At 41.3% G+C, this 14,294-nt stretch overlaps 1 protein-coding gene across 15 annotated transcripts in view; it reads right to left on the bottom strand.

The window, feature by feature from the left end:
- The window catches only part of SNAP25 (synaptosome associated protein 25), an 88,589-nt gene that overhangs the window by 39,733 nt on the left and 34,562 nt on the right, over positions 1–14,294 (bottom strand). Inside the window, exon 2 of one of the 15 annotated variants that reach the window (NM_001322909.2) lies at positions 8,285–8,329. The exons of the other annotated variants lie outside the window; for them this stretch is intronic. The gene's annotated coding sequence lies outside the window, so the exon portion shown is untranslated. The remainder of the gene's footprint in view (positions 1–8,284; positions 8,330–14,294) is intronic. 15 annotated transcript variants of the gene reach the window in all.

Raw genomic sequence — 14,294 nt, 5'->3', positions numbered from 1 at the left:
CAGGCACTCGGGAGGCTGAGGCAGGAGAAACCTCGTACCTGGGAGGCGGAGGTTGTAGTGAGCCAAGATCATGCCACTGCACTCTAGCCTGGTGACAGAGCGAGACTCTGTCTCAAAAAAACAAACAAAGAAACAAACAAACAAAAAACCTGGAGACTATTTTTAGTTTCATTTACATATTGGAAAACAACACAGAGTGATTTGACAGGTTCACCTCAGTAAATCCCAGTTTTCATTATTGTTTATCATCTCTACCTATATTTTAAATCACTGATTCTTCCACACCTCCCACCCTCACCTTTATTCTTATTTCTTTTTTCTTCCTAAGATGTGTTATTGTGTTGTTCCTTTTATATCTTCTTGAATTGACAAATGACTTATTTACTTGGCATTTTTCTTGTTCTGGGTATAGTATACTTATTGCTATAAATTGTGCTCTATGTGTTACTGTGGCTGTATCTTACAGGTTTTGTCATATAGTATGTTCTTTGTTATTTATTTCTATATAGTTTTAAATTTCAGCTTTAATTTCCTCTCTAATGCAAGAGTTATTTGAAAATGTGATGTTAAGATTTAAATATTAGAGGTTTTTTTGTGATCTCTAATTTTATTTTCAATATGTTGAAAGTGGTCCATATGATTTTTACTGTTTGGAATTTGTTGAGATTTCCTTTGTGCCTTAACACATGGCCAATGGCTGTGAATATTTAATTTGTGTCTGAAAAGAAAGTCCATTCTGTCTTTGACTCTAACTACCTACCTATTGACATCAAATCAAGCAGAAAAGGAAAGTTTATGTTTTCAAACTCTCTAAATTCCCTAGTCAATTTGACCTATTGATTTCTGAAAGGGATGTGTTCAGGTCTTCAACAGTGAGTTCGTTCCATCAATTTCTTCTATTTCAGCCCATTTTCACTCTTTACATTTTGCAGCTGTGTTGTCATGTTTATAGGTCCATGATTGCTACCTTTTCATAGTGCATTATTGCTTTTATCAATATTGAAGATAAGTGTTGCTACCATAACCCTGTTCTACTATGTTATTCATATTGCACAACCTTGATCAAACTCAATCCAATCAAATATTCATTTCTCTTAGCCTTATGTCTCTCATCTTCATCAAACAAACCAAAACAACAGCAACAACATCAAACTAATGCATCTAAGCATCTAAGTCATGGGTTAATGTGCTCTCATTTGGCTCACAATAGCCACCTTTTTTTCTCTGGGTTTCTATTCTTGCCCTCCAGAAAGAGCCAGTACTTGGATTTGTTTGGAGACTAATAATCTCTTTCCCTGACTGTAATGGCATGGGAATATGATCAAAAATGGGTTTGGTGCTATTATTTTCACTGGATGAAATTTCTTGAAGAGAATGCAACCGTAAGATGCAAAGCACTTATTCTAAGGGAATATATTGTTAAGCACAGTGACTGCTGCTGAGACAACTCCCTAAGTCCCCTCATTGAAAGGGTGAGTGAAACTGGTGAAGAGGTGATTCCTTCCATTTTCTGAATCATCAGAATTTGCCCCAGGTTTGAAGCAGCCTTTCCCTGTTAGGCAAAATCAGCTGCATCTATTCTAACATTCTATGCCGCACAACTGTTAGTTGTCAAAACACTCTTCATAATAATAGTTATTTGTCAAGAACTTGCAATGTGATAGGAATCAAACTAAGAACTTTATATGAAACTAGGGGGATTATATAGAAACCCCCAAACCTTTGGTACTCCAAATGTGTTCCCCAGACCAGCATCGGCCTCACCAGGGAGCTTGTTAGGAGTTCCACCCCAGACTTATTGGATTGGATCACGTACTGAACAACATATCAAGCACTAAGTTTGAGAAGTGCTGCCCTAAATCACATTATCTCCATATTAGGCTGGTAGGTGTGAGAGGTGGAGTTCCCACCTTGGGGGTGACTCTGTGCCTGTGCTCCACTCTTGACCACGCGATGTTATTTTAACCTCACCAATTCACATGTCCTACAGACTCCCAACATCATTTACCTCCCAAGCTGACTGAAAGCTCCACGGGGCCATGGGTTCTGAGTCTCCTAATGGTGCCCTGCACTGGAGGGTGGACAAAATGACTGATTTCCATGAGATAAATTCTTGTATTCAGAAAATGAAGAGAAGATAGTTATTAGAAAAAGCACACTGACGATGTTCTGTCTCTCCCAAATAACAAGGTTTGTGAAGTCTTGTTCTGTAAGACAGAGGAAGAAGAGACTGAGGATTTTGTGCATTGGAGACTCTGTGGATGGTGCTGATAAATTATTCTTCTCCCTCTGCAAATAATTAAAGCTTATGTTTTAAGGCAAACTAAGGACCAGAGCAAAAAGTACTTTCAGCAGATAACATGCTGTAAGTTTCTGTTTACATTTCTATCACTAAGAATGGACACTTCTTAAATCTGCCGTGTTCATAGTTGTAAATTTTCTAAAGCATGGGATGGACTTGGCTCCTTGTTATTGTATTTTTGAATATTCCTGTGCATGAAATTCAATCTCCTCTTTTCATAGCAGGAAATACTGGTTTTAAACTATTTCCTACTTAAATCAAAAGATTATATTTCAAATATGATGAACACATGTCTTGTGAATGAATTGATATACCATCTTGCATCTATTTTACACCCATTTTCTGGATAACAGATGAGTCACAGTGGCTCATAACAGGGCCTCTTAGTAAGCCGAGATCGCGCCACTGCACTCCAGTCTGGGCAACAGAGCGAGACTCCATCTCAGAAAAAAAAAAAAAAAAAAAGCATGGTCTGAGATCTCCTTGCATCAAAATCTTTTTTAGTTGCTTGCTAAAATGCAGATTCCCAGTTACATTACCTATGGAAAGCAATCTGTGGAGGTCGGGCTAGCATCTGCATTTTCAACAACAACCACAGGTCCTTCTTATGGTCCCCCAGAGTGGAAGGATCCATGTGTAGCATGACTTAGGGCTGAAGGTCTTTGCAAGGATCCAGTGGGAAACTCTGGTTTCCCATAAGGGTAACCTTATGATAAACTATCCAAACTATCCAAACTATCCAAAAACACAAGAACGCGGCTCCCCAGCATTGAGGAGGCCATCTTGATCTGAGGTGGTGGTCCCTTTTCCTTCCCACTATGTTGTTTTCAATATCTGATAACATAGCATGTGTTAAACACCATTAGTATGCTTCTTATAGGAGAATTTGGCTGAAGAACAATCTCAAGTGACAAGTACTTTAACCAGCCCACAGAATTGTCACCCTCTCCCACAGTGTCTCTGAGAAGAGGCACTAGCATTAAAGCCCAATTCCTTTCAAGCTTGGCTAATCTATTTCCCAGAACATTCCACCCCACACCATTCCTAAATGGGATTCTATATCTGTATGTCTGGATATAAATAGGCACAGTCTTGATCTGGTTTCTTCTGAGAAGGGAAGTCTGGCTTCCCTGATATGCCCCTTCCCTGGGCTAGTCCAGGATTAGTGACAGCATCGTGAAAAGCGGCCTCTGCTTGGGTTTTGTATTTTAGGGTGCTGGGTCTGGGGAGGCCTGGCATTGAAATGCAGCCAGCATTGGCATTTCTTAATTGTAACAGGGCATCCAGCCACAACCAACACTGATTATGCCTAAATCTCTCTTTTTCGAAAATGCCAATGTTTCTTTTGTCTGTTTTGCAAATGTGGCTAAATGGGTATTTAGCCCTGTGGTTTGTATTATGCAACAGTTCCTGATTGTTTACTTAGGAGCCAAAGCACAGCAGCCTCACTGACCAGGAGAGAAGAGGGGCCCCAATCTTGTCTCATTGATTCTGTTCATAGTTAAACAAACCACGGTAACAGGTTCATTCATTTAACCAATATTTACAGAGTGCTACTGTTAGTGCAGCCGCATCCAGCCTGAAGCTGGAGTGGAGAACCGCCCCTTAGGGATGGTTTTAGGAGCTCTCGCAAGAAACCTTTGCGTTTGGGTCTCTTCCTTCCCCATCCTAGGACAGAACTGATGAAAATGTTTGTATTCTGAGGTACACAGCTTGGTTCTTGGGAGATGAGTAATCTTCTGTGGGGCTAACACTTGGCCACAATAAAAGAAAGTCTTGTTATACCCTAAACAAAATGATTCCTCTCAGGAGTGCGTGAACAGACAGATTCTAAGACCAAACAGAAAGACCCCACTCCCACCATTCTCATGAAAACCAAACTATTTCTGTGCTGCTATGACCACACCAACACCTGGAAGGAAGCTGGTATGTATTCAGGCTTAGTAACAGTTTTGCCTTCAGTAGTCAATGTTATTGGGTATCTGCTCAGCTCCCTTAGGGGTTCTTTGTGGTCATCTCCGTGTTTCTGTGCCTGTGACCCTCTTTGTAAGAATACCCCAGGGTTGGCCTGGTGCGGTGGCTCACGCCTGTAATCCCAGCACTTTGGGAGACCGAGGCGGGCGGATCATGAGGTCAGGAGATCGAGACCATCCTGGCTAAGCCAGTGAAACCCCGTCTCTACCAAAAATACAAAAAAATTAGCCGGGCATGGTGGCGGGCGCCTGTAGTTCCAGCTACTCGGGTGGCTGAGGCAGGAGAATGACATGAAGCTGGGAGGCGGAGCTTGCAGTGAGCTGAGACTGCGCCACTGCACTCCAGCCTGGGCGACAGAGCGAGACTCCGTCTCAAAAAAAAAAAAAAAAAAAAAAAAAAAGAGCACCCCAGGGTTGCTTCGCCTGATCCACTGGGAGTGGCAGCAAGTACCTGGGAGCTTTTGACCCACTACTCCCCCCACCGCCCACCCCCAGGGCAGGCCCCTAGCTAACAACTGACTGGCAGAGGAGTACAAAAAACTAGCTCCTGTACTGCTTCTGTGCCTTAAGGTGAGACAAACCATAAGGTGTAATGTACACTCCAAAGATTCTCTCAGGATCATGCCAAAGTTGGGACCCTGCTGGCAAGGGCTCCTTGGCTTGGCTTCCTTGTGTCCCCACTGTCCTTCTCCAAACTCCCTTTCTGGTTTCTCCTGCGAGCACTGCCTTAATAAATCACTATCACATAAATCCCTGTCTAAGGGTCTGCTTCTGAGGAATCCAACCGAAGACAACTTCCACTTGTTTATGAGCTATTTTTTTTTTATCACGTATGGATAGCTGGACGCCATGTACTTAGAGGAATCAACAAACCACTGAATCAGGAAAAGAGGGGAAAAAGAACAAAAATTCTCTGTGTTCTCAGCTTGGCTGAACTTACTTGGATTTGAAGACTCCACATTCAGAATATCACAGAATGGCTAGAACTTGAGGATTACTGGGTGTCATTTGTCACAGGAGGAAGGGAAGCTCAGAAAGGTGGAGTAACTTGAAACTACAGAGTCACGCAGAGCCTGAATCTTTAAGTCCCAATCTAGGGCTCACCTTAAGGTATCCTTGAAATGGCAAACATCAAAATAGTGGAGAGGAAGGGACTCGTCTATGCTAGTTGAGAATGTTTTTAGAATATATAAAAATAACAGGACTAAGGCCAATGTAGCCTGTCTTTTTCCTACTGTTAATTTCAGACAATTGCTATTTTTATATTTCATGATATCATCCTTCCATAGCAAAACTAAAACTCTACTTTTTTCTGACTTAGATCTTCTCTGGTGGGTGCTGGCCTTGGTATAGAAGGCTTTCTCTCCTGAATTAAAAGCAGGCACATGAGCTGTATGGTATTTATCAAAGAATCAGTGGTGTTTGTGTTGCTAAACTCATTGCGTTTTGGCACTTTGTGTTATTTTTTACTGCCTTCTGGAGAAAAGATGAACAGTTTGGCAGGTAAATAATGCTGATCAACATAATTTCTGTTTTCCTAGAAAAAGTACTTATGGTGAAGACAACTCTGGCCAGGGTCCCCATATCCTGAACTCATTATCCTTGTGAATAGTTTTTCCAAAACCCTGGGCCTCTTATGTTTTCTTCACAATTTAGGCATAAATGCACGCTACATTGTTAATTCCCTAAGTCTTTTTAAAATCATTGATTTTAACGCACCTTTCAAACCTAGCCTCATTCTAAGTAATAATATCTATAAAATCAGAAATGTTATGGCTAATTATGTTTGTTTAATATACATTAAAGTAGATACACAATTACTAAAATGTATATTGCAAATTTCATCTATCATCCTCCTAAGCTCATTTCACCAGCCACTGAAGGTATATGTGCTATGCTGGGGAATTCATTGCTATAGATAAGGGGATGGATCACACACCCACATTCTTGCCTATGTTTCCATATGTCTGACCCATGTAGAGGGTGCAAACGTAGGCAAGGGAAGCTTGGCAAAGAGAGGCTCTGAGTTTGAGCAAGGTCTAGGGTGTGGTGGCTCAGGGAATAGAAGTGGAACATTTAGGGTGTGTGTAGGTACCTTTATCCTGGGATCTGGAAGCCCACAGAAAAAGCGATTTCCTGAATCACATGTTCATACTCATTCGTTTGTAGTTACCTTAAAGCTGGGAGGAGAACAATGTGGTCAAGGGCTTTGAAATCCCATTGTACTAAAAATGATTGAGGGTATGAGGGTATTTAGCTTGGAGAAAAGAAGACAGAGCATGACTCTGGTTACTGCAAGGAATAGATACTAGATTGGTTCAATATTAGCCATTAAATTGTAATTTAACTTAAAATTCATTGACATGAATGTATATTAGTTGTAATCTGTACCCAAGAGGTGGTTAGTAAACAGTCATGGTACCCTAAGCAGAGATACAGACTTCTAGGATAGGCAGTTAGCATTTGAAAGAGTTATATCAGGAGCTCACATTTCTGAGATAGCTACTATTAGTGTTTCAACTCCTTTTGCCTGTGATCTATGGAAAGGTTTACTAATTAACCTAATGGATGTTAGCAATAATTTTTTATTGGTGGAATGAATGTTCAAAATGTAAAAATTGGCTAGAAATACTGTAAATGTACTACCATCCCACATAATATAAGGCAGATGTGTGTGTGTGTGTGTTTGTGTGTGTGTGTGTGTGTGTGTGTGTGTGTGTGTAGTGAGTCTAAGTATGCCATTAACCTAAGGCTTACATTTGCTCCTTGATTCTGTCATGGTTAGGGGAGTTTCCTGACCGATTCTCATGGGTAGCACTTGTTAAAACTCAGATTGCTGATGTAGTAAGTGATTCTGGGGTAGGGCCTAGCAATTTGCATTTCTAAGATTCTCATTCTCTGATGCTGCTGCTGGTGGTGGTTCAGGGAATGCACTTTAAGAACCACTTTTTTTGTTTGTTTGTTTTAATCTGATCTGACTGCAAGGTCACCTGAATCCTGCCACTAGAATATTATGCAAGGTGCTGATTGGAATGCCCAAGTGAACAGAAAATGCATACTTCATTGTGTTTATAGAACAAGTTTTCCAACTAGTATTGTGTCTGCTTGCTAAGAAATATTTTGGTGAGGGAAGAATCCATCCTGAGGCTTGTTTTCCTTAAATATAATACCTAGTTTCAATGTCATGAGGGAGGAGACCTACGAACTTCACCTACTTTAACTACATCTATTAAAATAATTACTGAGAATTACCAAATTGGCAGAGGAAAATTTGCAACAGACTCTAAGGAATAAAACCATCAGCACTGGGAGGAAATGACAGAATAAATTTCTAAGAGATCTGTCCAAAGTCTGGGTTAGAGGACTCAGAAAAAGTGAGTTCCCTATTTCAGGGAAAGGCTGACCAACCAGCTGGTAGCCTTGATGGACATGATTCATTTATAAGATGGGACGTTGGATCAGGTGATGTGCAAATTCTCTTCCAAACCTGAGGTCTCTGGCTCTATGAAGGAAGCCGAGGTGTATGTATAGTGTTGATGACACAAACCCAGGTCACTTCATAAGAATGGGTTCTGGCTGGGCACAGCGGCTCAAGCCTATAATCCTAGCATTTTGGGAGGTCAAGGCAGGAGGATTGCTTGAGGCCATGAGTTTCAGACCAGCCTGGGCAACATGGCCAGACCCATCTCTACAAAAAATTTAGAAGTTAGCTGGCATGGCAGTGTGCACCTGCAGTCCCAGACACTTGGGGAGCTGAAGTGGGAGGATGGCTTAAGCCCAGGAGTTAGAGGCTGCAGTGAGCTATGATCACATTATAGCACGCCAGCCTGGGCAAGAGAATGAGACTCTGTCTCAAAAAAAATAAAAATAAAAATAAAAAAAGTCCTGATTAGCTGGTCCTTTAAAATGGTTCCTCAGAATCTAATTGCACCCACAAGACTGTCATAGAGATTAGAATGCTGATGGACTTAATTCTTTCTATCCTCCCATCCTTTTTGGAAAAGTTTACCATGCTGGAAGAAACACCATCTGCTCCTCAGTATTACAGGAACCACTGTGGAAACAAGAAAGACATTTCCTAAGCCAGCAAACTCCCAGGAAGGAGCTGACTCACTTGCAAATTCTGCTTCCATGGAGGTGAGAGAAACAAAAATGCCAACCTAATTGTTATTCCTCAGATTAATCTGATAATCTCATATCAAAAAACATGGGCATTCACCCTGGACTTCATCATTATTATCACCTCTGCTGAATATATATATATTCTGCCATACTCTGCCATACATATATCTTTGTATATATATAGCCTTAGATAACAGTTCTGCTATGTCCCTCTTTGAAGAAACCAGGACCTATGAACACAATCCCACTCTGAACAAGCCTACTATACGCCAACCTACTAAGCAGTTAAACTCTCCGGAAAATTATTTGCTCTAGAAGTGAATTCACTGCAGGGTTTCTTTAAATAGCAAAGCTACTAGCTTATATTCTAGAATTTTATAGATCATTATGGGAGTATTTGACACAGAGAGGGGTAACAAAAAATAGAAAAAGGTCCCTGGCCAAAGTGTCAGGAGTCCCATTTGATGGCAGAAGAGCTCCACATGATGATAAAGTGTCTCTGAAGTGATTGTGGGAGTCAATGATGGCAGAAGACTGATTGGTAAAATTGGATTTACCCAAATATCGAATTGCTTAAGGTAAGTAACTACTGTGACTGTAACTACCCTAGTGGGTAAATTTGACTTCTCCAGTTACTCAATTTGGCATTCCCTATCATTATCATGGAGTGGATTTAAAAGGCGCTTGCATTAGACCTTGTGGGCAAAGGGCCTGGAGATTTTTGTAAGCCACACAGAGCGCATGTTCTGAGAACATTGGGAGAAGGAAGCATTTTGTGGCCAAACGCTAAGATGTTGTTGCTGGATCAGTCTCCACTCAGGATGAGTTTTCTAGGTTCACTTCTGTCACTAAATCCATGTTTGATCATGGATAGTTTTCAAGGTACCCTTTCAAAAAGTTAAAAACATGAGTCTCATAAAAATATAGAAGGAGTATGTGATGAAGATTTATTAACTCATTAATGAGAGAGCCAACAAGATGGTAAAGCTGGTTCAAAGAGAATTCATACATAATACTGGAATAAGATTACTAACTGAAATACAAAGCTGGTTAATATCTTACGGAGCAATAAAAGTGTCACCTTTGCAGTTGCTTTTTCTATCACACAGGAATCATTTAAATTTCCATGACACGAGATCTCTAAATTAACAAACATGTAACTTCACAGAGTCTGGACCCTGATAAAAGTTAATAGTACGTCAAAGAAAGAGAATGGGATAATCCTTGAGTGGGTCCATTAGATGACCAGTATGTCAAATGAAAGATGTGCATCCATCATTTTGCTTTATTTCCAAGTTATGGATAATTTTTCTTAGTAATACAAACAGGTAAGGTTTTCCTTGGGCACTATTCTATGAAATTTGCTGGCAGCTAGCAGGTGAACTTTTTTTTTTTTTTTTTTTTTTGAGACAGAGTCTCACTCTGTTGCCCAGGTTGGAGTGCAGTGGCATGATCTTGGCTCACTGCAACCTCTGCCTCCTGGGTTCATGCAATTCTCCTGCCTCAGCCTCCTGAGTAGCTGGGACTACAGGTGCATGCCACCATGCTGGCTAATTTTTTTGTTTTGTTTTGTTTTTGAGACGGAGTTTCGCTCTTGTTGACCAGGCTGGAGTGCAATGGCGCAATCTCGGCTCACTGCAACCTCTGCCTCCTGGGTTCAAGCGATTCTCCTGCCTCAGCCTCCTGAGAGCTGGGATTACAGACATGCACCACCACACCCAGCTAATTTTGTATTTTTAGTAGAGACGGGGTTTCTCCATGTTGGTTGGGCTGGTATCGAACTCCCAACCTCAGGTGATCCGCCCGCCTCGGCCTCCCAAAGTGCTGGGACAGGCGTGAGCCACCGCGTCTGGCCCATGCTGGCTAATTTTTGTATTTGTAGTAGAGACAGGGTTTCACCATGTTGGCCCGGCTTGTCTCGAATTTCTGAACTCAAGTGATCCACCTGCCTCAACTTCCCAAAGTGTTGGAATTACAGGCATGAGCCACTGTGGCCAGGTGAATGTCTTTTTGCTTCGGAAGGCTAAATAAATATTTATTCTTTCTCCAAGTCTTCTCAGTGAAGAATTGTTTTTTTCCTTTTTTAAATCATATGCCCATAGTTCTCAAATCTGGAGGGGTGCATTTAAATCTCCTGGGGAGCTTTAAAAGAATCTTGATGCCCCGGTAACACCCCAGACCAATTCAATCAGAATCTGAGAATGAATCCCAGGATGCAGTATATTTAAAGCTCCCCAGTGACTTTAGTGTGCAGCCAAGATTGGGAACCAATGCACTATTTAGAATCAATATACATGTGTATGCCTGCATATACATAAATTTATTTGTTAAAGAATCAGATATACACATATTATCCTGTTTTTTATAGTCAATTACATTATGAAAATTTTCATATATTAGACATTGCTCAAATGACATTTTTAATGACTGCATGATGTTCCCTCACATAACATATTAAGATTTATTTGGCTAATCTCCTGTTACTGGATGTTTAGAGTTGTTTTGTTTCCTCTCTCCTCTTCCTTCCCCAGCCTTTCCTTTCCTTTCCATTCCCTTTCTTTTTGCCATTGTAAGTTAGGCTATCATGAACATATTTACACAAACATTGCATTTACATCTTGGATTATTTCCTTATAATAGATTCCCAGGAGTGGATTTACAGGTCAAAGAAAATAAATTAATGACAGCTGAGGTATATTACCAAAGTGCTTTCAACAAAGGCTCATCAGTGTATATTTTTAACTTGTGATTTCCTCAGTATTTTATCTGTAAAATGTTTGCATATTCCAAAATGAGTTAAAAGTTCATTTTTTTCTAGTTTTCTCAGTGGTCATATTTAATTCAACGTTTTAATCCAGCTAAAATTTGTTTTAGTGTACATACGGAAAGAATTAAAGCCCTAATTCTATATTTTTCCAAACAGCTCCTTTTTCAACATCATTTATTGAATAATTCATTCTTTCTCCATTAGTTTATGACTCAAAGAAGTTTAAAATAAAATATGTAGGTTAATTAATGGTCCTTCGTAATAGCGGATAGACTTGAAAGATGCACATGAAGGTTTCAACTACTAACAAACTAGTTTAAGTACATTCTTGCCTAAATCTTAGCTATTATTATTTCTTAGAGATACCTAGCTCTGATTTTAACTCTTACTCATTTATGGAACACTTAGGTGTTGAAAAACAACCCAAAGCTCATCCTCTCTAAGATGGCTTTAATCTGTCTGCAAGCAGCTTGTAGCTTTGCCAGTAACAGGTCTGCCTAAATCCATCTGTTCTACTTCACATGTTCTCCCTTTGAAACATTGTTTATGCCCTTGCATTATCTATGCATAAAGGTTTTTTTACATAATGTTGATTTATTACCAGTTCTGAATGTAATGGAATCGATTTTTGTAAGTTTTGTTATTATGCATTTATTTCTATTCTTATAATTATCATAGTCTCACTGTTCTGCGCTTAATAGCCCTATACAAAATCCGTAAATGAAGCCCAAAGTTATCAAAGCCATATTAACAAAGGGAAAGGAGGCTAGAATGTTTAATTATGTCCAAGAAAACAGAAAAATATTCTATAAATGGAGGACACAAATCTTCTAACCCACGATTCCTGTGTTAAATCACAGAAAAGGTAGATTTGCCTACTAATATTTTTAATGAGTTGTACTTCATTAGTAATTCTAGTACTCAAGTTGTACTCTTTATTAGCTTTCTTGGGCCCAAAACCCTACATTTTGCATCTCCAATTGCCAGGTAGTGTATAGACCACAGTGAATTCCCACCCCAGAACCCTGAGTTGGCAGAGGAAATAAATTGTGTGTGTATGTGTGTGTGTGGGTGTTACTGTTCCAGAAACTTGGAGGAACTTACCCTGACCCATTCACCCTCTCCCACCTAGTCTCTGTATAGCTCAAAGAGTTATTTGCCCATTGGAAGGAAACATACAAGAGGGTGGACAACACTTAAGAGTGTCACTTGTGGCCAGAGGAGCAAGCATCGTTTGATGGCCGTTTAAGCAATCAAAGTTTGAAGTGCTTTGCTACACCAGTGAGTCTGTGTAGTACCATCCAGTCTTTTGGAAACTTGGCAGGTTGGCTGTCACAACCGTTATTCTTATCCGTGGGCCCACTTGGACCCTGGGATTTGGCAAACTCCAAAAGACAAATTTTCAGATATTTTTCTTACCCAAAGTCTAGGCTATGGGCTGCCCTGATGGCTTGGGGAGAAGGGATCCCTCTATATCATTTCAAGTACCTTAGCCACAAATGGCTGGGCTCAGGAGTCCCATTGTGTCCCATCAATCTTTTTACTTCAGATGAAGAAACAGTCGGAAGGCACAGACCCTTTTCTATAGAGGCTGAGCTGAAGAGGGAAGCTAGAGAGATTTTCCCTGAGGCCAATGAGACACAGGCAGGCTATATCTGTTTTGGAAGAAGTTCATGAGGCTCCGAGACTGCCCAGTGCATTAAAAAATAATTTTCCAGACCCGAGGCAGGTATGCGTCTCCAGCACTTTGCCCTGGGGGAACTGTTTTTTCCTTGGAGGATTTGAATTGCTGTTTTCTCCATTTACCGCAAGGCCTGTGTCTTCCCATCTGGTTTCTCCTCCTGCTCCCAAAGTGTTTACAAAGCAGGTAGCTCAGGATAGGGCAAACTGCTCAAAGTTCTGTGTTTCTAAGAACTTCAGAGCAGGACCGTCCTCCTTTGGGATTCCATAAGCTACTTGCAGAGAGGCACTTCTCTACTGGAGGTGGGAGTGCGCGGGAAAAGGAGCTCCTCCTGGGTTTGCTGCTTCTAAGAGCCAACCCTGAGCTAAGAGTCTATGTAAAGGGAATTTGTTGAGGGAATGCTCTGGGGGGAGATCAGGAAGGGAGTGGAGGAGATAGGTCAAGAAAGGGGAAGAAGCCAAGCAAGGGGGGTGTGCCAGCATCAGCATCATCCTCCATGGAGCTCTGGAGTCTTAAATGCACCTCAGAGCATGCCTCACCTCCAGGAGAGAGAGCTGGGCTTTGCGCACTTCTATGTCAGTCAGTCATTGGCTAAAGCCACTTGTGAGGTACAAAAACTCCCAGCCATTTCTGGTCTCTGTATGGATGAAGCAACTTTCTGTATGAGTAAAATCATAGATTGCCTTTAGCAGCAAAACATGCAGAAGCTATGCAATGGGCTGGTAAAAGGGAACAAAGGGATCTCATAGGAGACCCACAGTGCCTGCTAAAGGAACCCTCCGGGGATAAATCTTGTAGCTCAGGCTGAGCAATGCCCCAGAACTAGGAAGCAGCCGTCTTCCCCAAAGCAGGTGGTAAGCCATCTGTGGGCTCTGTGGGAGGAGGAGGGCACATCCTGCGTAGGGAACCCTGCCAGTCAGCAGGGTGGAAGGTCTGGCTAGGCCACCCTGAGAACTGCCTGGTCAGCCCCTTTGTGGGTGTTAACACCTTTTTTCCAGTCCCAGGGTGTGTGTGACATGTAGATCACAAAATGTACAAATGTCACTAAACCACATCTACAACTGCCAGACAGCTTGTATTAGTACCCCCAAATACACCTTTGGAGTTATTGCTGGGTGACACCGCAAAGGGGAATTGTCCTGCATATAAAAATTACATTTTCAAGTCTCATCATTTTGAGAAGTCCACCAGCACTCCTCAGGCTTGCTGAATGGGACCCTTGGCTGCCCGACCACTCATTCACAGGTGCTCATAGTAACAGGGATGATCCCTGAGCATGTAGAGTCCTCCCAGCACTGTATAGATCCTGGTATGTGATAACTCAGTATCATAGTCCCACCAGCTCTATGTGATGTGGGTGCCTTCATCATCCCCATTTTATAGATAGGAAACCAAAACACAGAGGGGTTCGGTAAGTAGCCTAGAGTCACATAGCTAGTAAGTGGCAGA

The sequence above is a fragment of the Homo sapiens genome, chromosome 20 (assembly GCF_000001405.40).
Source record: "Homo sapiens chromosome 20, GRCh38.p14 Primary Assembly".
NCBI classification, from domain to species: domain Eukaryota; kingdom Metazoa; phylum Chordata; class Mammalia; order Primates; family Hominidae; genus Homo; species Homo sapiens.
Note: the sequence above shows the minus strand (reverse complement) of the source record. Positions and strands in the feature narration are given on the sequence as shown.